Source organism: Homo sapiens, chromosome 15 (genome assembly GCF_000001405.40).
Source record: "Homo sapiens chromosome 15, GRCh38.p14 Primary Assembly".
Taxonomy (NCBI): Eukaryota; Metazoa; Chordata; class Mammalia; order Primates; family Hominidae; genus Homo; species Homo sapiens.
Window position 1 is genome coordinate 83,166,582 of NC_000015.10, and position 25,776 is coordinate 83,192,357.

General features: G+C 38.2%; 1 protein-coding gene across 3 annotated transcripts in view, besides 1 other annotated feature; it reads right to left on the reverse strand.

The window, feature by feature from the left end:
- The window catches only part of HDGFL3 (HDGF like 3), a 95,086-nt gene that overhangs the window by 53,844 nt on the left and 15,466 nt on the right, over positions 1–25,776 (reverse strand). The window lies entirely within an intron of this gene.
- Positions 243–744: an enhancer, noted in NCBI's record as "NANOG hESC enhancer chr15:83835576-83836077 (GRCh37/hg19 assembly coordinates)". NCBI's record gives its function as "activates a minimal SCP1, AML or CMV promoter by ChIP-STARR-seq in naive and primed H9 embryonic stem cells {active_cell/tissue: H9 hESC(naive and primed)}" and the evidence as "EXISTENCE:reporter gene assay evidence [ECO:0000049][PMID:30033119]".

Genomic DNA, 25,776 nt, shown 5'->3' on the forward strand with positions numbered 1-25,776 from the left:
GTTCCTACATTGCTATAAAGAAGAACCCGAGACAGGGTAATTTATAAAGAACAGAGGTTTAACTGGCTCATGGTTCTGCAGGCTGTACAGCAAGCATGGCTTCAGGGGACCTCAGGAAACTTACAATGCCTCAGGAAACTTACAATCATGGTGGAAGGTGAAGAGGAAGGAGGCACATCTTACATGTCCAGAGCAGGAGGAAGAGAGAAAAGGGGGAAGGTGCTACACACTTTTAAAGAAGATCTCATGAAAACTCACTCACTATCACAAGAACAGCAAAGAGGAAATCTAACCCCATGATCCAATCACCTCCCACCAGGCTCCTCCTCCAACACTGGGATTATAATTTGACATGAGACAAATCAACATATGGGCAGGGACACAAATCAAACCATATCAGCAACCAACAACTTCATGACAGAATCAAAACCTTGCATATCAATAGCAACATTGAATGTAAATGGTCTAAATGACCCACTTAAAAGGCACAGAGTGGCAGCTTGGATAAGAAAACAAGACTTATCTGTCACCTGTCTTCCAGAGACCCATCTTAGATGTAACGACACCCATAAGCTCGAACTAAAGGTTTGGAAAAAGATCTACCATGTGAATGGAAAACATAAAAGAGCAGGAGTTGCTGTACTTAGATAAAACAGACTTTACGTCAACAACAGTAAAAAAAGGACAAAGAAGGCTGAGCGTGGTGGCTCACCCCTGTAATCTCAACACTTTGGGAAGCCGAGGCAGGGGGATCACCCGAGGTCAGGAGATCGAAGCCAGCCTGGCCAAGATGGTGAAACCCTGTCTCTACTAAAAATCCAAAAAAATTAGCTGGGCGTGGTGGCGGATGCCTGTAATCCCAGCTACCTGGAAGGCTGAGGCAGGAGAATTGCTTGAGCCCAGGAGGCGGAGATTGCAGTCAGCCAAGACTGCACCACTGCACCTCCAGGCCTGGGTGGCAAAGTGAGACTCCATCTCAAGAAAAAAAAAAAAAAAAGTACAAAGAAGGGCAGTACATCATGAAGAATTCAACTCAACAAGAAGGTTTAACCATTCGAAATATGTACATGCCCAACATTGGAGCACCCAGATTCGTAAAATAAGTACTTCCAGACCAATGAAAAGACAGCCACACAATAATAGTGGGAAACTTCAACATCCCACTGACAGCATGACAGCATTAGATAGATCATCAAGGTAGAAAACTAACAAAGAAATTCTGGATTTAAACTCAACACTTGGACCTAATAGACAACCACAGAATATTCATCCTTCTCATCTGCACACAGAACATACTCCAAGATAGACCACATGCTTGGCCATAAAGCAAGTCTCAATAAACTAAAAAATAAAAGACAAAAAATCATATCAACTATACTCTCAGGCCACAGTGGAATAAAAACAGAAATCAATACCAAGAAGATCTCTCAAAATCACAAATTACATGGAAATTAAACAAATTGCTCCTGAATGACTTTTAGGTAAACAATGAAATCAAGGCAGAAATAAAATAATTCTTTGAAATAAATAAAAACAGAGATGTAACATACCAAAATCTCAGGGATACAGCAAAAGCAGTGTTAAGAGGAAAGTTCACAGTGCTAAACACCAACCTTAAAATACTAGAAAGATCTCAAAATAATGATCTAACATCTTCCCCGGAGGAACTAGAAAAACAAGAACAAACTAACCCCAAAGCTGAAAGAAGAAAAGAAATACCAAAATCAGAGTGGAATTGAACGAAATTGGACCCAAAAATCCATGCAAGGATCAATGAAACCAAAAGCTGGTTCTTTGAAAGGATAAACAAGATCCATAGATCGTTAATAAAATTAACAAAGAAAAGAGAAGATCCAAATAAGCACAATCGGAAGTGACTAAGGTGACATTATAACCAATTCCACAGAAATGCAAAAGATCCTCAGACTATTATGAACACCTCTATGCACACAAACAAGAAAATCTAGAAGAAACACGTACATTCCTGGAAAGATTCAATCAGGAAGAAATTGAAACACGGAACAGACCAATATTGAATCCTTAGGTTGAATCAGTAATAAAAACCTACCCCAAAAAAGTCTCAGCCTAGATGGATTCACAGCCAAATTCTACCAGAGGTACAAAGAAGAACTGTACCAATTCTATTGAAACTATCACAGAAATTGAGGAGGGATGCCTCTTCCACTCATTGTACAAAGCCAGCATCATCCTAATACCAAAACCTGGCAAAGACACAACAAAAGGAAAAAACTACAGGCCAATATCCCTGATGAAAGCAGATGCAAAATCCTCAACAAAATACTAGCAAACTGAATTCAACAGCACATCAAAAAGTTAATTCACCATGATCAAGCAGGTTTCATTTCTAGGACGCAAAGTTGGTTCAACATATAAAAATCAATAAATGTGATTCACCACATAAACAGAATTAAAAACAAAAGCCACATGATCAACTCAAAAGACTCAGAAAGAGCTTTTGATAAAATCCCTTCATGATCAAAACCCTCAAGAAACTAGGTATTGAAGGAACATATCTCAAAATAAGAGCCATATATGATAAACCCACAGCCAATATCATACCAAACAGGCAAAAACTGGAAGCATGCCCCTCGAGAATTGAAACAAGACAAGGATGTCTACCTTCACCACTCCTATTCAACATAGTACTGGAATGCCAGTCAGAACAATCAGGCAAGAGAAAGAATTTCAAGAAATAAGGCAAATAAGAAAAGAAGTCGCAGGAGAATGGCGTGAACCCGGGAGGCGGAGCTTGCAGTGAGCCGAGATCGCGCCACTGCACTCCAGCCTGGGCGACAGAGCGAGACTCCGTCTCAAAAAAAAAAAAAAAAAAAAAAAAAAAAAAAAAGAAAGAAAAGAAAAGAAGAAGTCAAAATTATCTCTCTTCGCTGATGATAGAGTCTGTATCTTAAAAACCCTAGGCCAGGCACGGTGGCTCACGCCTGTAATCCCAGCACTTTGGGAGGCCGAGGCGGGAGGGTAACTTGAGGTCAGGAGTTCGAGACCAGTCTGGCCAACATGCTAAACCCCGTCTCTACTAAAAATACCAAAATTAGCTGGGAGTGGTGGCTCGTGCCTGTAATCCCAGCTACTTGGGAGGCTGAGACACGAGAATCACTTGAACCCAGGAGGCAAGGTTGCAGTAAGCCGAGATTGCATCACTGTACTCCAGCCTGGGTGACAGAGCAAGAGTCCATCTCAAAACAAACAAACAAAAATCCCTAAAGACTTTGTCAAAAGGCTCCTGGTAACTGACAAATGACTTCAGTAAAGTTTCTGGATACAAAATCAATGTACAAAAATCAGTAGCACTTCTATATACCAATAACATCCAAGCTGAGAGCCAAATCAAGAATGCAATCCAGTTTACAATAGCCGCACAAAAAATAAAACACCTAGGAATACATCTAACCAAGGAGGTGAAAGATCTCTACAAGGAGAACTACAAACACTGCTAAAAGAAATCACCGATGACACAAACAAATGGGAAAACATTCCATGTTCCTGCACTGGAATAATCAGTATTGTTCAAATGTCCAGACTACCCAAAGCACTAAAGATTCAATGCTGTTCCTATCAAACTACCAAGATCATTTTTCACAGAACTAGAAAAAACTACTCTAAAATTCATATGGAACCAAAAAGGAACCTGAATAACCAAAGCAATCCTAAGCAAAAAGAACAAAGCCACGGGCATCACATTACCTGACTTCAAACTATACTGTAAGGCCACATTAACCAAAACAGCATGGTACTGGTACAAAAACAGACACATAGACCAATAGAATAGAAAAGAGAACCCAGAAATAAAGCCATATACCTACAGCCATCTGATCTTTGACAAAGTGGACAAAAATAAGCAATGGAGAAAGAACTCCCTATTTGATACATGGTGCTGGGATAGCTGGCTACCCAAATGCAGAAGAATGAAACTGGACCTGTAACTTTCACCACATAAGAAAACCTAACTCAAGACGAATTAAAGTTCTAAATGTAAGACCTCAAACTATAAGAATCGTAGAAGGAAACCTAAGAAACACCATTTTGGACACAGGCCTTGGGAAAGAATTTATGACTAAGTCCTTAAAAGCATTTGCAGCACAAACAAAAACTGACCAGTGAACCTAATTAAACTAAAGAGCTTCTGCACAGCAAAAGAAACTATCAACAGAGCAAACTGACAACCTACATTGAATGGGAGAATATATCTGCAAACTATGCATCCAACAAAGGTGTAATATCCAGAATCTATAAGGAATTTAAAGAATTCAACAAGCAAAAAAAAAAAAAAACAAATAATCTCATTAAAAAATGGGCAAAATATATGAAGAAACACTTCTCAAAAGAAGACATACAAGCCAAGAAACACGAAAAAACTTGTCATTAATCATCAGAGAAATGCAAATCAAAACCACAATGAGATACTATCTCACACCAGTCATAATGGCTACTATTTTCTTTTTATTATACTTTAAGTTCTAGGGTACATGTGCACAACGTGCAGGTTTGTTACATATGTATACATGTGCCATGTTGGTGTGCTGTGCCCATTAACTTGTCATTTACATTAGGTCTATCTCCTACTGCTATCCCTCCCCCCTCCCCCCACCTCATAATGGCTACTATTAAAAAATTAAAAAACAATGGATGTTTCATGAGGTTGTGGAAAAAACAATGTTCACACACTGTTAGTGGGACTGTAAATTAGTTCAGCCACTGTGGAAAGCAGTTTGGAGATTTCTCAAAGAACTTATGAATAGAACTACCATTTGACCCAGCAATCCCATTACTGTGTATATATCCAAAAGAAAACAAATTGTTCTACCAAAAAGATACCTGCTCCCTCATGTTCACTGCAGCACTATTTATAATAGCAAAGATGTGGAATCAACCTAGGTGCCTATCAGTGGTGGAATAAATAAAATGTGGTACATATACACCAAGGAATACTACATAGTCATACAAAAGAACAAAATCATGTCCTCTGCAGCAACATGGATGCAGCTGGAGGCCATTATCTTAAGCAAATTAATGCAGGAACGAAAAACAAAATACCGCATGTTCTTACTTGTAAGTGGGAGCTAAGTAATGAGTATGCATGAATGCAAAGATGAGAACAGTAGACACTGTGGACTCCAAAAGGGGATGGGAGGGAGGGGGACAAGGGATGAAAACCTAACCATTGGATACCTGGGTAATGGGATCATTCATACCTAATACCTCAGCATCACACAATACACTAAGATAACAAACCTGCACGTTTTCCTGAATCTAAAATAAAAGTTGAAAATAAAATTAAAAGAAAAAAAGAACACTGTATGAACATGGTGGTTTCCTCTTTTTATCTCCCCTTTTCTCCTCATCCATGGCAATTTAAATTTATCAACAAAATACTAAAGTAATTATCTCAAAGGCCACCAGTAACATTCCCCTTCCCAGTCTATATCCTCTTGCCCTCTCTATGGCTCTGCTATGGCTTGAAGGGCTCCCCTCCAAAATTCAGGTGCTGTTAATGTAATAGTATTAAGAGGTGGGACTTTTCAGAGGTGATTAGGCCTTGAGGGCTTCTCTGTCATGAATGAATTTCGATGCTTATAAATAAAGGGGGCTGGACAGAGACAGAAAGAAGTTGGTTCTCTCTTGCCCTTCTGTCTTTGGCCATGTAACGATACACCAAGAATGCCCTCATAAGATGCCAGTGCCTTCCTCTTGGACTTAGCCTCCAGCACTGTGAAGAAATAAATTTCACAATTCATCCTTGAACAACAGGGATTGGGGCACTCACCTCCTGCACAGTTGAAAATCCATATATACCTTTTGACTCCCCCAAAACTTAATTACTAATAGCCTATGAAGCCTTACCAATAACAAACAGTAGATTAACAAATATTTTATATATGTATTATATATTATTACAGTAAAGTAAGCTAGAGAGTAAATGTTACTAAGAAAATCAGCCCAGGTGTGGTGGCTCACGCCTGTAATCCCAACACTTTGGGAGGCCAAGGTGGGTGGATCACCTGAGGTCAGGAGTTCAACACCAGCCTGGCCAACATGGTGAAACTCCGTCTCTACTAAAAATACAAAACCTCATGCCTGTAATCCAAGCTACTGAGAAGGCTGAGGCAGAAGAATCGCTTGAATCCAGGAGGCGGAGGCTGCAGTGAGCTGAGATCGCGCCACTGCACTCCAGCCTGGGTGACAGAGCAATAGACTCCAGCTCAAAAAAAAAAAAAAAAGGAAAAGAAACTGTATTTACTATTCATCAAGCGGGAGTGGATCATCATAAAGGTATTCATCTTGGTAGTCTTCACAATGAGTAGACTGAGGAGGAGGAGTAAAAGAAGGGGTTGTCTTGCTGTCTCAGGATTGGCAGAGGTGGAAGAAAATTCACGTAGAAGTGGACCCACAAACTTCAATCCTGTGTTGTTCAAGAGTCAACTGTATTGTTTCATGTATTTTGTCGTAGCAAAACAAAACAGCCTAAAACAAACCTTATCATTCTTGACAACCTTCTTTTCTCTTGGTTTCCACAGTACTACAGATGGTTTCTGACTTATAATGGTTTGACTTAAAATTTTTCAACTTTATAATGTTGCTAAATTCATACACATTTAGTAGAAACCATACTTCAAATACCCTTACAACCATTCTATTTCTTGCTTTCAGCACAGAATTATTCAATAGATTACGTGAGATACTCAATACTATTATAAAATAGGCTTTGTGTTAGACGACTTTGTCCAGCTATAGGCTAATGTAAGTGTTCTCAGCACATTTAAGGCAGGCTAGGCTAAGCTATGAAGTTTGGTAGCTTAGGTGTATTAAAAGCATTTTTGACCTAAAATACTTTCAACTTAAGATGGGTTTATCCGGACATAATCCCTTGTAAGTTGAGGAACATCTGTACTCTTGTCTGGTTCTCTTATTTTCTAGCTACTTTTACCAATATGTTTCTCTGGTTTTTCTCTTTCTAATCTAGCGATTTTTTATGTTTCTCTAGATTTCATTTCCAGATCTCATCTACTCTGAAATTATGTTCTCTTTCCAAGCAACCCCATTCACTTAGATGATTTTAACTTTTGCCATTATTTTTATGGACTCCCAAATCTCTACCTCTAGCCTCAAATTTTCCTTTGAACTCTAGGGATGAAATTACAAACATCTACAAACCATCTCCTTTACAGGTCCCATAAGTAACTTAAACCCAAGAAAAGACTACAAATAGGAAAGGAGGCACACTTATAGTTTAAAGAATAAGAAAAAGGCTCTGGTATCCATTCTCTTGAAGAAGTCTGCAGGCCTTCTTAACTAACATACGGCAACAGCCTGAGGATTACAGTACCATCCCAAAGTCATCTTTGAACTGAATGAACCATCTGTCACAGAGCAAAGATGCTCTGGTGTACTAAGAAAAGATGGACTTTCAGTCTAGAAACTTATTATTAAAGTAAGCCTACTTTTGATTTAAATTGTGATACTGAAGGTATCAATCTCTTGGGGCCCTGAGTTTCAAATCTGTAAAATAAGATGGTTGGATTAGGTAACCTCTAGATTTCCTTCAAGTCCTGAAATTCCATGGTTTGTCTACAATTGAATTAATTTCCTCTGAATCTGTTTTTCTTCCTACTTTAATTATTGTCATACTCTGATCTTCTGAGTATTTTCTCGAGCCCCACATTCAGCTGTTCCCTGAATCCTGTCAATTTAACCCCTGAAATGTCTCTCAAAGTGAGCACCATTCCCATTACTAAATTTAGTTATCTAAATCAAGTTCTTATCTTTTGGCAAGGCTATTGTAACAGTTTTTCACAATGTCTCCTTGTTCCCAGGATTTCCCATTACCTACTATAAAACTTCTGTAAAAACCTTGTATATGTTACATTGAGCACCACCCTAAAAAAAAAAAAAACCTCAAAATGAATCTGTATAATATGAATTGTAGTAAAAAACACGACATAAAATGTATCAACTTAACCATTTTTAAATGTATAGTTTAGTAGTATTAAGTATATTCACATTACTGTGAAACAGATCTCCAGAAAATGATCATGCTTTAAATGGCCAAAAATAAAACTTAAAATGTATGTATATGGTTATGTGATAGGCACTGAATTACTAGTTGATAAAACATTATCACATAATGTACTTATTTTACTCTTGTGAGAAACAAAGTGAAAGGTTTAAAATAATCTTTTGAAACTTCTTTCAAACAAAAACAACCTTTGGTTAAGCTCTTCCTCTGCTATATAACTAATATCTACTGCAGAGGTTGCAAATTGGTGGCCCTCAAGCCATTTACAGCCTGAAGATATGTTCTGTTTGGCTCATACAGTGTTTTTAAACATTTGAATTAGTTACAAACACCTAAAAACTAGAAGATTCAGATTAAAATCCAGCTTAATGACTTCTGTGAAAAGAATATGAAAGTGAAAAAATCTAGCAACACTAAGCTTGCATTCCCACATGGTAACAATTAGCTGAAGATGGTCAACCATAGTTGCCCACTTTAGACAAAGAATGTGCTCTCAAGTTTGTCACACTCTCTACCATTCTCTAACACTGTAAATGTCTTCTTTCCTTATTTATATGGCTTGCTTAGCCCCTTTGAGTATTTGAGTTTGTACCCCCTGGAACAAATATTGTAAAAAACAGAAGCCAGCCTTAACATTACGTTGGTTCCCTCATGAATTTAATGTTTTGACATGCACTCACTTTATATTTTTATGAGTCTTGTTTTTAACTTTTTTGAAAATTATACTTTGACAACTTTGGAAATACACCAAGATGTTCAAGTATCTACACTTTCCTAAGCCATTTAAAGTGTACACCTCCCAGGCACAGTTTTTCTTAGCTTCTGGAGTGATTATCAAGTGGCAACAGAACTTTACTTTTATTGACTTTCTGTTTCTCTGCTATTTCTGTTTTCCTGACTTTGTATTTTTACTTTTGTTCTGATGCAACAAAACTTCATGGCTGGCTGGGCGCGGTGGCTCATGCCTGTAATCCCAGCGCTTTGGAAGGCCGAGGTGGGTGGATCACGAGGTCAGGAGATCGAGACCATCCTGGCTAACACGGTGAAACCCTGTCTCTACTAAAAAATACAAAAAATTAGCCCGGTGTGGTGGCGGGCACCTGTAGTCCCAGCTACTCGGGAGGCTGAGGCAGGAGAATGGTGTGAACCCGGGAGGCAGAGCTTTCAGTGACCTGAGATCAAGCCACTGTACTCCAGTCTGGGCGACAGAGCGAGACTTCGTCTCAAAAACAAAAAACAAAAAAAAACACACATTAAAACATTCATGGCTGAACACACAACACCCAACACTGGACAGATGAGACAGATTCTTAGCCACGTTTGGTTGTGATTCTGGTTCTGCACAGACAGTAAGTTTATTCCCTATAATGGGATGATAGGTACCTAATCTCTGTTGGATGCAGCATGGCAAAGAATCTGATACACTAGTCTTTTGCCTTGTAGAGGAACACGTCTTGCTTCAACTGGGAAGAAAAGCCCTTTGAGATCTAGATTGCTATGTGTGTCCTGTGTTTTCTTTCACTTGTATATGAAGTTGCACACCTGAAGGTAAGCCTCAATGTGTGACTGTACTTGAGAAAGCCTTTACCCCTTTTTGAGTTTGAAACATTGTCCTACCTCTGGAAAGGGTATTAACAAATTAGATATAAATCTCTTAAAATAAAAGCTGTTTTTAATTGGTTTATAGATGTCGGTAAGACTTAAGAAATCTAACATAAAATGAATATAAGAATTTTCAGGAAATAAAAAACTGAATTTTGAATACTTAAAATGTGGTGGCATTTTTGTTGTTTGCTTGCTTTGCTCACTGCAGAGATACTAAGGGGATATACAGATTAGAAATTTAGGCTCTTCCCTTACAGCCTGCAAATCTGCAGCCCCATGGACTGGAGCCCGTGGGGAGGCAGCCTCATTTTCCATAGAAAACTTATTATCAGAGTTTCATCCCTGGACCTTCACCATTAGTGTCACTGGGACTCATTAGAAATGCTTATTCTCAGTCCAAAACAAAGGCTTATAGACTTTGGGGAAGAATCAGTGTTTTTAGGAGCCTCCAGGTCATTTTGATGCATATTTTAAGAGATTTCATCCTCTTGCTGTGGTTCCTGCGGATGGGTTGCTTTCATTTCTTGTAATTAACATGCATCTCCTCAAACTCGGCAGGATTTTTGCACTGAGATTGCAAAAATGCATTGGTGCAAGTTGGTTTCCCTAATTCTTAAAAAAAAAAAGTACAAAATGTCAAATTTCCTATTTTTTATTAAAGGAGAACTACACTATATTAAATGTGGTATCCTAAAAACCCCAGAGTCTTGCTCTGTCACCCAGGCTCGAGTACAGTGGTGCAATCTCAGCTCACTGCAACCTCCGGCTCCTGGGTCCAAGCAATTCTCCTGCCTCAGCCGCCTGTGTAGCTGGGATTACAGGCACGTGTCACTATGCCTGGCTAATTTTTTGTATTTTTAGTAGAGACAGGATTTCACCATGTTGGCCAGGCTGGTCTTGAACTCCTGACCTCAAATGATCCATCCGCCTCGGCCTCCCGAAGTGCTGGGATTACAGGCGTGAGCCATTTTGCATTTTTATATAAGAATCAAAATTCAAATAATCCAAGTGAATCCTTGAACAAATCAGACTGGTTTGATGAATTTTTGGTTTTAAAACACCTATTTGTCCTTGTCTGAATTTAATTGCCATGGAGTGTGTAATATAAGCAAATGTTTTATTTTTCAAATAAGATTTGGGTTGTTTGCTCATAAAGACGCAAATAACATTTTTGAACTTCTTATATAAGGTCCACTGTTAAGCTAGTATTACTTCCATTTAATGATTAAGAAAAATATAAACTTGAATTACAAAATATAAACTTCAAATTGACACACTTTTAAAAAATTTCAACAGCAATTATGTTCTGTAGTTTGTTAGATTAAACATCATTTCTAATATTCCTAGTTAGCTTCAAGACCCTACACTAACATTGTCATGTTAATCAATGGATAATCTTTGCATATTTGAATTTTTAAGATAGAAATATAAAAACATTGGTCACTGAGTGTGTGTGTGTGTATCTGCTTTTAATTTTTATATGTTATGTAGTGGCTATTTTTGCACTTTAGGAAGATATAGAAAGGATGTATAATATGTATATTATGCACGTTCATGAACTTTACTGGTTTGCTACAACAATTTCATATGACATAATTTCTCAGTTACTTAACTCTGTGAAACAGAAACTAGTTGCTTTGGTTGTTATAATTAACATGAAGATTGAGATAATATTAAAAACAATAGTGGTACAGAAATCAACTGCATATGCAAGATGATGGATATATTTTTGTTTATTAATGGGAAAAGATTAGTTTTGTTCATCAAGTATCTGGGTTTCTTTCAAAATGCGCAAGAGGATAATGAAGGACAAAACCTGGATGAATACTGAAAGCTGTGAAGGTTTGTGGAAAGGAAAATGTATTTGCTTTGAACTATAATAACTGCAAATAACAGTCCGAAAACACACAATGAAATATTAAAATTGCTGAAGTTGGCTCAGTTTTAATGAATTTCTTCATAAGATTAAAAAGGGAAAGTTTCTGAATCTACTAATGTCAAATATTTGTTAATACAAAGCTAGAATTTTGTTTTCTGTGTCAAAATAATGAATTGGTCTTGGAGAATTCTGTCTGATCTTAAAAAGATATAGTAAGAGTTACTCTTCACCCTCTAAATAATCTAAGTAGCAGAGATGATATATTTCACTAGAATAACCTCCTGAACTTTGTGTTGACTCTTGTCATACTCTTAAGTTTGTTTTTAAATAAACAAAAGTTCCTCGCTTCTACCCCGGGCAACACAGGCAGACCCCATCTCTACAACAACAATAAAATTAGCCAGGTGTGGTGGTGCATGCCTGTGGTCCCAGATACACAGGAGGCTTCAGTGGGAGGATTGCCTGAGCCCAGGAGGTCAAGGCTGCAGTAAGCCATGCCTGCATTCCAGCCTGGGTGACAGAGTGAGACCCTGTCTCAAAAAATAAAGAAGAAAAAAAAAGTTCCTCACTTCTCATAGAGCTAAGTTTCTTTTAGAAAAATTGGGTTACCATTTTCTATGTCTATTTAAAACATTATATTGTTGTTTCAATTAATTCATTATTTATTATTCTCAGATGTCTATGCTCCTACGTTAAATCAGTGATTAATTCTTCTCTGATAACTCTTCCAATGTCACTGAGTTCACAGTATTCACTGCGAAATGGATCAGGCTTCTACTGTGGTGTAAGACCTAAAGCTTGATATTAGTGTTGTCTTGTCAGGAGAGCCTATCTGCAAGTTCTCCTCCCTACTCTTATTTATCTCCTATAGATAAAGACCCCTAGCCAAAAACCCTCCTTATCAAACAGAACAGGCACAGTTCCTACTTATCCCCAAGTAGCAGGCTTCAGTTTCCTGCCAGTCTGTAGAATTATTCAAATAAGCCAATCACATTCTCCTGTAGGAACCAGGTGGTACCTTACCCTCTTGATACTACAAAACCTGCCTCCCACTGCCCCTGGTGGGGCATTCTGTTTCGGAGTGCAATTTCCATGTGGCCCATGTAGCGTGCAGTGCCCTCCTCTCCTGAGCTGTGAGTATATGTAACTAATAAACTGCTGTCTGTCTCATCTGTCCAGTGTTGGGTGTTGTGTGTTCAGCCATGCCTATAACCACAGGGTGGGAATCCCTCCTTTACCAATAGAGTAAATAGGAGGTGATTAAAACACAGATAGGTACCAACATGACGATAATCTAATTAGGAAACAGAGGCAAGGAAATTCCACATGGCTCAAACTTGTATGTGTGGTAGCTTAGTGGTTTTGTTCATTGTAGGAGTCCAGATGGTAGTTGGGGGTGAGAAGTCCTAAGAACCAGAGGGCTAGGCAAGGATACCAAGGTTCTCCATAGGCAAAGCCTCTTCTCTCGAAAGTGCTCAAGGCCTACTTCCTTAGTCCAATCAAATCTCTGCTTAAATATCATCTCATCAGAGATACTTCCTTTATAACCTAACTTGAAGCAGCACCTCCTTCCCTATTATTTTCTATTCCCTTATTCTGATGGATTTTTATTTTTAGCATTTCTCTAATATTCAGTATATGTTTGTCTCTTGACATTAGAGTAATCTCCATGAGGGGAAGACTTGTTCATCCCTGTAGCACTACTGCCTAAAGCAGTACCTGACAAAATGGTAGGTGCATAATAAATATCCCTTGAATGCATGATGTTATAAGTCTAGTCCTATGGGCCTGGCCAGCTCTTTGTGTGTGTTGTGTGTGAAGGGAAAGAGAGAAAGGGAGAAAGTAAGGAGTGAAGTATAAGGATTGTCACTTGGGGTGTGTATGTGTGTGGCGGGGGGCAGAGGGAGGTGGTGGGTGGAAATCCAAGACTACAGCTGAAACAGTAGATGCCAAACCTAGCCTGAGGAATTTATTTCAGGATTCAATAGTGGAAAAGGAAAAAAAAAAATAGGGAAGACCAAAGTGTCCTGATTGACTCCGGATCTGACGATGCCCACATTTACACATGGAGGGAATCCATAATCCCTGCTGTGGTGGGGAATAGAAAGGAGAGTTGTGGAATAACGTTCAATAACAAATTACTAAGAAAAATTATTATGAGGTTATAGAATAAAGGAGTCTCTATGCATAAGAAAAGAATGGAAGAAGGGCAAGCAAACTTGTCTCTGAGCATGCCAATGAGAAGAATTTTTTGGGCTAGCTGACAAAAAACGTAGAGAAAAAAACATTTTAGCTATTAAAAAGTTTATGAGGTGTGGTAAATTAGAAAAGGGGAAAAAACCCTAACATGTGATGTTGTTATAAAAATGGATTTGGATAAAGAGAAGTCTGCAAATCAGTCAACAAATTTACCATAGGGGCAGAAGGGAAAATCACAGTATGAAAAAGGAAATGCATACAGGAGAAAGGGGAAAGAATTTTAAAAATAAGAGTCTGTTTGGTTTAATAAACATGTAACTTATCAATTTTTTTTTTTTTTTTTTTTGAGACGGAGTCTCACTCTGCTGCCCAGGCTGGAATGGAGTGGCATGATGTCGGCTCACTGCAACCTCTACTTCCCAGGTTCAAGCGATTCTCCTGCTTTAACCTCCCAAGTAGCTGGGCCTACAAGCACACACCACCATGGCCGGCTAATTTTAGTAGAGACAGGGTTTTGCCATGTTGGCTAGGCTGGTCTCGAACTCCTGACCTCAAGTGATCCACCCACCTTGGCCTCCGAGAGTGCTGGGATTACAGGCGTGAATCACCATGCCCGGCAATTTAATATTTGAAAAGAACACTGTTAAAAGAACTGCAAGCATGATGATATGGAAACACCTTCCAAAATACTAGTTTGAAAAAATGTATGAAATATCAGGCTGAGTTATCTTCAAATATATAAAAACGACCATCTACTAGTGATAGAACAATCTTATAGCTACAGACATTTTTTCACCCAATAAAACCCTAAAAACATTGTCATTTTAATCTTTAAAATAATTATAAATAATTTTGAGAGGTCATGATATACCTAGAACTTAGTGCTTTTAACTAAGTTGTATATAGCAGATGTACAGGGGATGTATGCAGGCTGTATAAAGGGGATGGGCCAGATGATTTACTGAGGTTTCTCATTAGCATGTTACACTGCTGATTCTGGAGGAAGAATATATGTGGGGCATTAACTCAGCCTCATAGTATACCTGGGGAGAGGCGTAGTCTCTGACAACTGAAAGAACACAGCTCGAATAGTTAAAAGTGAGGCATTTCGATTTATGATCTTCATTTAAACCTCCAGGGTTTATCCTTTTCAATTCTTGTAGTCACTTTTTTTTTGAGATGGAGTCTCACTCTGTTGCCCAGGCTGAAGTGCAGAGGTGCGATCTCAGCTCACTGCAGCCTCCGCCTCCTGGGTTCAAGTGGTTCTCCTGCCTCAGCCTTCCGAGTAGCTGGGATTACAGACATGTGCCACCACGCCCGGCTAATTTTTGTATTTTTAGTAGAGAAAGGGTTTCACTATGTTGGCCAGGCTGGTCTTGAACGCCTGACCCCAAGTGATCTGCCCGCCTCAGCCTCCTGAAGTACTGGGATTACAGGCGTGAGCCACCATGCCTGGCCCTTATAGTCACATTTTAAATTGAGTTGTCTGATCTGGCTTATTCCCCCAACGCTGCACCCTCCTCCTCCACAATCCTCCTTGGTCTTCAAAGCTATTGTCCACATAGATTCTATTTTGAACAGGCATAAAATAAAACACACTTGCTTTTAGGGTTTATTTTTACTTTTGTTGAGGTAAAACTTAAATGCAGTAAAATACATTGATCTTAAATGTGTATTTCATTATTTGGTAATGTGATAAATGCATATACCTATATAACAAATACCTAAATCAAGTATAGAACATTTAAGTCATCTCAGACATTTTCCCTGTACTCTCTACCAGATATTTCCCTTTTCTCATAGTCTTTTTATGGCTTTTTATGGCTAGTCTTTTAAATTTTAGTCATTCTAGTAGGCATGAAGTAGTATCTTCTGTGGATATCTTTTAACAAACTAAAGTGTTATAATGCTTTATGTATTTACTTTAAATTTTAGTCATTTTAGTAGGCATGAAGTAGTATCTTCTGTGGATATCTTTTAACAAACTAAAGTGTTATAATGCTTTATGTATTTACTCAAAATAAATGAAAAGGTATGTCCACACAAAGATTTGTACAAGGTTGTTCATAGCAACTTTATTCCTAATAGCCTAAATCTGGAAATAGCCCAGGTGTCCTAATGAAAGTGGCCAAACCAACTATGGCATATTCATACAAGGGAACACTACTAATATATACAATAACATGAATGAATCTTTAAAACACTATGCTAAATGAAAGAAGACTTACACAAGAGTACGTATTGGATGATTCCACTTATATTAAGTTCTAGAAAAGGAAAAGCAAATCTATGGTGAAAAAAAATCTGAGTATGATTACCTCTGGAGATTGGGAAGGGTATTAGAGAATTTTCTGGGGTAATGGTAATATTTTATACAGGTCTCATGAAATTTAACACTTAAGATCTATGCATTCACTGTATGTAAATTTTACCTCAAAAGTTTAAATAAATATTAAACTCTAGTTAGTTATATGCATGCTGAAGTATTTAGGGATGAAGTAAATTAATGTCTGCAATTTACACTTTAAAATACATAAAAAATAAGATAGCTTGATGGATGAACAGAGATTGTTAGATGGACAGAAATGTGATAAAACAAATTTAGCAAAATGCTAACTATAGAATGTAGGTCTTGGGTGTATGGGTGTTCACCGTGATATTCAACTTTTGTGTATATTTGAGTATTTTCAAAATAATACGTTGATATAAATAGAGAGGGAAGAAGAGGATGAGACTAGTGTTAACAAATTGGCTATATCCTTTTCTCTTAAAATGTAAAGTCAACAGATATTATCTAGTCAATAAATCAGGAGACTACTGTGCTTCATTACAAGCCGAGGTTGATTTTTAAAACCCTGTACAGATTGAAACCACAGTAGTAGCTATTGGGTACTATGTTTATTACCTGGGTGACAAAACAATCTGTACACCAAACCCCCATGACATAAAAATCAAAAAGAAACCAATAATAATATACATGCACAAGGCCTGCCCCAGAAAAAAGTGTCATTCAAAAAAACAAAAATCGTAGAGTGAAATTATTGCTAAATAATTGGACAATTAAATTTATTGTGCCCTGCTGTCTACAACTTCTCCTTTAACAGGCCCTCAAAAAACTGAACCAACAAGAACCTTGTCTGATTGAATATAAAGAGCACCTTGGCTGGGCATGGTGGCTCACACCTGTAATCCCTGCACTTCGGGAGGCCAAGGCAGGCAGATCACTAGAGGTCAGGAAGTCGAGAACAGCCTGGCCAACATGGTGAAACCTCATCTCCACTAAAAATACAAAAATTAGCTGACTGTGGTGGCACGCACCTGTAATCAGAGGTTGAGGCAGAATTGCTTGAACTCAGGAGGCGGAGGCGGAGGTTGCAGTGCAGTAAGCAGAGATTGTGCCAATGCACTCCAGCCTGGGCGACAGAGTGAGACTCCATCTCAAAAAAAAGAAAAAAAAAAAAAAAGTATCTTTTCCCACTGCAAAGAGAGTTTGGTAAGGGTTTCCAGTTCTAAACCTGGTTTAAATTTCTAGGAACCTTTATTTGCAGAACTTTAACCTTACCTTTGCCATCTCCCCAATAATGACTCTTAGCTGGCCCTCCTCCAGCAAAATTTCCCTAGTTATATGCAAGATTTTATATATTTCATTTTAATGGGAAAAGAATTCACTGCTTTACTCAGATCTTCCAAGCCTTGCCTCTCCCACCAAAAAATTTAAAGAAAGATAATCATGTACAAAAAGCTAAATTCAGATACATGTAAATCCAGTTCATAACAGTTGTGCCAATTTGGGCACATCTTTTATTTTTGGTGTCAATTTCAGAGGGCTTTAAGTTGTTAACACAAAAATGATATGCGATATCAACTTTTTTACCCTTGAATTCTGTTTTCTCTTACATAAATACTGCCAACTCTTTGTTTTATTCAAGTCTGATAAATAGGGCTTTCCAATTTGGAGGTAATTTTTGCCTTCTGCTATCTGTGTTAAGTCAGTGTTTTATAAGCAACATATTGTTGGATTTTATTTATCAGTCCAAAAGGAAACCATTTATGCTTGTACTATGATGTCTGGCTTTTTATGCTTGTTTTCTCTCTTCATGTTTATCTTTATTCTATGAATAAGGTATTCAGACACCTCATTCTTAATTCTATAATTAGATATTTCAAGAACACTATCAAAACAACTTATAAAATATAATCACTGTTAATAATATAATTACTGTTATAAAATATTTTATCTATTCTAATCTGAAATAAGGTACTTAGTGCTTTCCTCTCTTCCTTTCCCTTTCCCATTCTTTATGAATCTTTCCTCCGTCTTCTCTACTAGGTTCCACTGTTTGGTTTAATATATTAGGTAGTACTGTAATCACTTTTATTGCTACAATAACTTCAGGAAACTACCCAGGGCAGATGTCTTCAAAAAAAGAGCAGGAAGAAGGCAAATGGCAGATGAAATGAGATGTCAATATGGAACTACTCGAGCGTCAGTTGCAAGGGAAAATCCAAGACAACAGATAATACATTTCCATTAAGAGGTGGGTAACCATTACCAGACTTGCAAAGAATGTGGTAAAGACCCTTGTAAACTTTCACTCTCGTACAACAACAAACAGTTTTGGAGAAGGCAAGAGGAGAGTTGGAGGTTATTAGGAGATAATTTTTAGTAAAAGCTATGTGTATGCTGTGGGTCTCAGCACCCTTTTTTTAAATTTTTATTTTTTGAGACGGAGTCTCACTCTGTAGCCCAGGCTGGAGTGCAGTGGCACAATCTCGGCTCACTGCAACCTCTGCCTCCCGGGTTCAAGCAATTCTCCTGCCTCAGCCTCCCGAGTAGCTGGGATTACTGGCGCCCACCACCACGCCCAGCTAACTTTTGTATTTTTAGTAGAGACAGGGTTTCACCATGTTGGCCAGGCTGGTCTCGAACTCCTGACCTCAGGCAATCTGCCCGTCTCAGCCTCCCAAAGTGTGCCCGGCCTAGAAGCTTTAAGAAGACTGCTTGGAGAGCTTAAGATAAGTCTTCAAGAGCCTAGAAGTCATAGAATGCTGGTATTTGACTCAAGCCCAAGAAATCTTAAGAGCACAGAACTTTCTGGTTAGTTGGTCTGATGGCACAGTGAAATGGGTGACTGCACTGGGATTGGCTTGCACTCTCAGAGTTTCTTGTGGTAAAGAAGTTTTCCACAGACCATCAGCTAGAGACTGTGTGAGGTTGTCTTAAATCCCGTCAAAGAGGCTACCCGGAGGCGAGAGGATCATAGCAGAAAAAAGCTGAAAATATACCATGAGATGTCCTGGGAAGAGGGAGTTTTAGTGACCACTTCAAGAGAGATGCATTTGCCTGTATTGAGAAGTGAAGATGAGATAATCCCAGGAACACTGGTGATGGAGGTGGCAGGTTGTTTCTAAAATGGCTTGTGTGATCCCCACTCTTGATATTCATATCCTTACATAAAATCCCCTGTCCTTGAGTATGTGCTGGATCTAGTTACTTACTTATAATGAATGGAACATGGCAAAGGGGATTGGATGCCACTTCTAAGATTAGGTTACAAAAAACTATGACTTCTATATTGCTGACTCTTGCTCTCTTGCTTGTCCGCTCTGAGGAAGCCAGCTGCCATGTTGTCAGTTATTCTATGAAGCCTACATGGCAAGAAGCCTAAGGCAGGCTCTGGCCAACATCTCATGAAGAAATGAGGCCCTTAGGCCAACAACCCATGAAGAACTGAATCCCATCAACAACTACTTAAGTGAGCTTGAAGATGGATCTACTCTCTAGACAAGCCTTAAGATGACTGCCCTTGTGGGAGACCCAGAGCCAGAGGATCCAGGTCGGCCATGCCTGGATTCCAGAAACACAGAAATCGTGACTAAATGTGTATTGTTTTAAGCCATTAAATTTTAGAGCAACTTGTTATACAGCAAAATATAATTAATATGGAGTAGCTCTGAAGAAACTACAAAAAGAGTTCAAGAACAAAGCAGGAGATACCAGACAAGTGTGTTCATGATTCAGATATTCAGTTAGACTTATCGCTCAACTGAACACTACTAGCTGCTTATGGATTTGATATTAACCTATTGTAATTTCCATTCTAAGTCTCATTTAGTTTATACTCAAACTACTGGTTAAAGATGGAAGGCTAAGACAGCAAAAGAACATAGATGTTCAAATAGAAGTTAATGAAGAGCACAAAATAGTAATCCGGTAAATTTATTTCAAAATTTTCTGTATTCTGAAATAATATCTTCTACAGCAACCTGGATGAAACCGAAGGCCATTATTTTAAGTGAAGTAACTCAAGAATAAAAAACCAAATACTACATGTTCTTACTTATGAGTGAGAGCTAAACTATGAGTACGCAAAGGCATACAGAGTGGTATAATGGACACTGGAGATTCAGAAGGGAAGAGGGTGGGAGGGGGGCGAGGGATGAAAAACTACCTGCTGGGTACAATGCATACTCAGGTGATGGTGCACTAAAATCCCAGACTTTACCGCAATATAATGCATCCATGTAACCAACAACCACTTGTACCCCATAAAGATATTGAAAAATAAGTAAATAAATACATTTTTTAAAAACAAAATTATCTTTATTCTATCTGTAAATTGGATTTATCTGATCAATATTAGCATTCTCCATCTGAACCAGCAATGAAAGGAGAAAAAAAATGGTGATGAATATATCCCAAATTAGCATTTTACTTTAAAAAATTAGTTATACTTTAGGATTCTCATTTTGGTGACTATCTTTTCATGTCATATATATACACACATATATTTTACATAAATGGGCTGTATGTCACAGAAGCTACTTTTCTTGGAAATTCTTTTTTTTTTTTTTTAAACAGAGACATTGTTTGTTTGTTAATTGAGTAAGTGGAGGCTTACCGCTAAATCTTCCCCCAGACTTACTCTTCCTCAGGTAATCACTACTTATAACAAAGTATGCTTTTCTCCATGTTCATATACATAATCATATACAAATGTTACACGGGCAGAGTTTTTTTTTTGTGTGTGTGTGTGGAGAACTACTCTCTGTGTGTGTCTCTCTCTCAAACACACACCACCACAAATACACACACAGGAATCATACTTTATAAAATTCTCTGCACCATGAAAAGTCCTTGCAGTCAATTGCCATAAATTTAATTAATTTGTTTTTAATGGCCGCATAATAATACAGCAATTGGATAACCTATAATTTATTTAACCTTTCCCCAGGGATGGGCATTTACCTTGTTTTCAGTGCTTTTCTCCTTAGAAAAAGGCTGCAGTGGCCGGGCGTGGTGGCTCACGCCTGTAATCCCAGCACTTTGGGAGGCTGAGGCGGGCGGATCACCTAAGGTCCGGAGTTCGAGACCAGCCTGACCAACATGGAGAAACCCCGTCTCCAATAAAAATACAAAATTAGCCCGACATGGTGGCACATGCCTGTAATCCCAGCTACTCGGGAGGCTGAGGCAGGAGAACTGATTGACCTGGGAGGCTGAGGTTGCAGTGAGCTGAGATTGTGCCAGTGCACTCTGGCCTGGGCAACAAGAGCGAAACTCTGTCTCAAAAAAAAAAAAAAAAAAAAGGAAAAGGTTGCAGTAAACACACATTTTTATGCACTGGTGCTTCTATTTACATGGGATAGACTTTGAGGAGATTGTTGGATCATAGATTAGAGGTATTTTCCATTTTAGCAGATATTACCAGAACATATTTTTTAAAGGCTATAATAATTTACATTTCAACCAAAGTATGAAAATGACTTCCCTTCCAATCTTTGACAGCATTAGACATTATTGCTCTTTTAAATTTGTATTTCCCTCATTAATGGTGAGGTTAAGCATCTTTTCATAAGTTTACTGGCCATCAAGATTTGCCTTTCAGTGAACTGCCTATTAATATCATTTCTGCATTTCCCTACAGGGTTATTTATTTTTATTTAATTTTTTGAGACAGGGTTTCACTCTGTCGCCCAGGCTGGAGGGCAGTGGTGATCTCAGCACACTGCAACCTCTGCCTGCTGGTTCAAGCAATTCTCGCGCCTCAGCCTCCTGAGTAGCTGGGACTACAGGTGTGCACCACCACTATACCCAGCTAATTTTTGTATGTTTTGGTAGAGATGGGGTTTCACCATTGTTGGCCAGGTTGAACTCCTGACCTCAGATGATCCGCCTACCTTGGCCTCCCAAAACCTGGGATTACAGTATTTTTTAAAAACAACTATTAATGTATAATATACTCATCTGATATGTACAATTTCCACTGCATATTTATTCATTATGTAATGTATCCATTGACGTATTTTCTTCTCGGATTCCAGGATGCCATAGTCTCGTAATATACTTTTTCCCTATCTTACCATCCACTTCTTATGAGTCTCCTTTCATAGCCCCTCTTCTCTTCTCTACCTACCTACACTTACTTACTCCCTTGGTGATTTCATCTGGTTCTATGGTTTTAAATGCCACCTGTATGTTGATGAGTCTCATATTTCTATCTTCAAACTCCAGACCTCTCATATGAGCTTCAGACTCACATATTGGGTGTCTCACTGGCATTTCTAAAATGAACTCTTAACATCTTGTGGCCTAATCTACTTAGCTTTCAAGATTCTCCATGTGAGTAAAGGGCGTCACCATCCACCCAGATGCCCTTACCAGAACCTGGAATTCATTATTGATTTATTCCTCCCCCTCACAGACATATCTCATTCATCACTGTGTCCTTCAATTATACCCCAAAACATGTCACCAAACTAACCACTTCTTTCTACATCCACTGCTACTCTACCCCATCCCTATCTACTCCACTATCATCCAAACTTCTATGAAAGCCTACCAACTGGGCCCTTTGAATCTACCTTCCCCTACTCCACCCCTCCCTTTGCCCCCAACAATCAATTCTTCAGTCCCTGAATATAAATCAGATCATGTAATTCCCCTGCTTAAAACTCTCCTATGACTTTCCATCCTACTTTAAAAACTCTAAACTTGTTACTAAACTATAAGGCCTTACATGATATGGCTTTGTCTACCTACCTGAATTCATCTTCTGTCCTTCTCCCCCAGGTCCTAGCTCGCTCACTCTGCGCCTCATTTGCCTTCTTGCTTTTCCTTGATTATGCTGAGCTCATTCCTACTTTTTCCTCAGAACATCCAACTCTGCTGAAGTGTCACATTTTCACAGAAGTCTTCCTTTATTATACAGAAACACACACATCACATACATGCTAGCCTCTTACTTTGCTTCATCTTTTTCCATACCTTTCCTGGCTACATTAAATTACATATTACTCTGCTTGCTTACTAATTCATATCTCCCCCTCTAAACTAAAATATAAGCTTCATGAAGACAGAAGATGTGTCCTTCTTGTTCACTGTTAAATCCCTGGCACTCAGAACAGTAATCTGGCATACAGTGGGAATTCAATCATTTTTTTTAAAATAATGGGTAAATATTGCTTTATTATTTTTGACACTGATAATTGCAAAGGTACTCTGATTAACTACATTGAAAGCAACCAATGTATAGCTGTAGCTCATTCATATTTAATGCGGCATAATATCCTGTTATGTCAATACACTACAATTTAACTTTTCATCCTCCATCAAAAAGCTTGGGTTCTATGATTCCAGCACTTTGGGAGGCCAATGTGGGATCATTGCTTGAGCCCAGGAGCTCAAGACCAGCCTGGGCAACATAGTGAGACCTCATCTCTACAAAACAAAACAAAAAAATTAGCTGGGTGTGGTGGTGTGTGCCTGTAGTCCTAGCTACTTAGGCACAGAGTCTGCGGTAAGAGGATTGCTTGAGCTTGGGAGCCTGCAGTGAGCCATGATTGTGCCACTATACTCCAGCCTGGGCAACAGAGCTGAACTCTGTCTCAAAAAAAAAAAAAAAAAAGCTTGCTCATTTCCAAATTTTGTTCACCATTATGAATCCTGTTGTTGTAAAATTCTTGTACATATCTTCTGTTATATGTATTTCTCTAGAGTGTACAACTAGGATTAGAGATGCTAAGTCAGAAAGTATGCAAAATCCAACTTTACAACATAAAGTGAAATTGTTTTCCAAAGGGGTTGGACCAGTATATACTTCTTCAGTATTGTATAAGAGTTTCTGTTCACCCATATCCTCTTTAACATATGATACTGGCAAACCTTTTAATTTTTGGCAGTCTCATATTGATCTTACTTTGCATTTCCCGATTACTTATGAGGCAGAGCATCTTTTCATATATTTATAGGCCTTATGTATTTTTTCTATGAAATGGCTGTTCATGTCTTTTGCCCATTTTCCCATTGAGCTTTTGTCTTTTTCTTACTGACTCATTTTGTATACTAAAGCTTTATTGGTTCTATGTATGGTAAGCATCTTCTCCCATTTTGTGGCTTATCTTTTCAATTTCATTATAGAGTTTTTCAGTGAACAAAAGCACTTGATTTTAATGTACACAATTTTATTAATCTTTCCTGTTATGGCTAGTTCTTTCTATGTCTTGTCAGGAAATTCTTCCTTACTCCAGGGACACAATGATATTTTCCCACAGGCCCTGAAAGCCTTCCACACTTTTATCTATGTAGAAACGATTTTTGTACATGGTGTGAATTAAGGATCTAATTTCATATGGATACTATGAAAGTTAACCCATATGGATATTTAACCTATATGGATAACTAATCATATCAGTGTTTTTAAAAAAGTTTCTCCTTTCCTCCCCTTGATCTTGAATTCCATATCAAGAATTCCATCTATCTGTGGGCCGGTTTCTGTATTCACTTTCTATTCTGCTGGTTAATACATCTCTCCCTGAGCCAAAAGCGGTCTTAATTTACTGTTAATTACTATTTGAACAATTCTGTGTGTTGATAACTGATAGGACAAGTCTCACCACCTTATTCTCCTTGTTCAGAAATGTCTTGTTTTGGCTGTCTTTATACATGCATTTGAAAGAACAGAAATAAAAAGAAAACACAATTAAACACGCATTTATAAAATCAGCAAGGACTAAAAGATACCTAAGAATATACCTAAAATATATGTACAGAAAATTACAAAACAATTTTAAAACATTTAAGAAGGCCTAAATAAATATAAAAATAAGCCACAGTCATGGATTAGAAGCCTCAATATTCTAAGATGTCAATTCTTCCCATACTAATCCAAAGATATAATCCAAATTCCAACAGTTAATTGTGAATCTCAACAAGCTAATTCTGTTTGTCCCAATTTTTTATTGGAAACATATAAAATTGTAAGTTTAAGACTTTAACTAAAGTATGTCTTGGAATCTAACATGTTATAAACCTTGTCAATTTCCAACTATGTCTGTTATTAAGGTGAGGAAAACTTTCTTTTATTATACTCTGGATATGTTCCTCAAAGTCTGTCATTTATTTGGCTAACTTATTTTCAGTAACATTGATTCTTCTGCTTGTTATCTTTGGATGTATATCCTAGACTGATACCAGACAAAAGGCAAAAATCACCGAATCCAAGCACAAGCATGATAATCCATCAAATGTCTCAAAAACTTAACCTATGGTAGCATTAATAACATTGTAAGGATTTTGAACCATCTGTTAAATGCATCCTATTGTAACTTATCTCTCCTTTTTTTTTTTTTTTTTTTTTTTGAGACAGAGTTTCGCTCTTGTCACCCAGGCTGGAATGCAATAGTGCAATCCCAGCTCACTGCAACCCCTGTCTCCCAGGTTCAAGCAATTCTCCTGCCTCAGCCTCCCAAGTAGCTGGGGTTAGAGATGCCTGCCACCACGCCTGGCTAATTTTTTGTATTTTTGTAGAGGTGGGGTTTCACCATGTTGGCCAGGCTGGTCTCGAACTCCTGACCTCAGGTGATCCACCTGCCTCGGCCTCCCAAAGTGCTGGGATTACAGGCATGAGCCACAGTGCCTGACCTGTAACTCACCTCTTTCTAAGGATACAGATATGAAGACAGTTTTGACTTTCTGCCAAAAGTTCCAATCTAAAAATAAAAAACAAAACAAAACAAATTTTGATAGACATGCACTCCT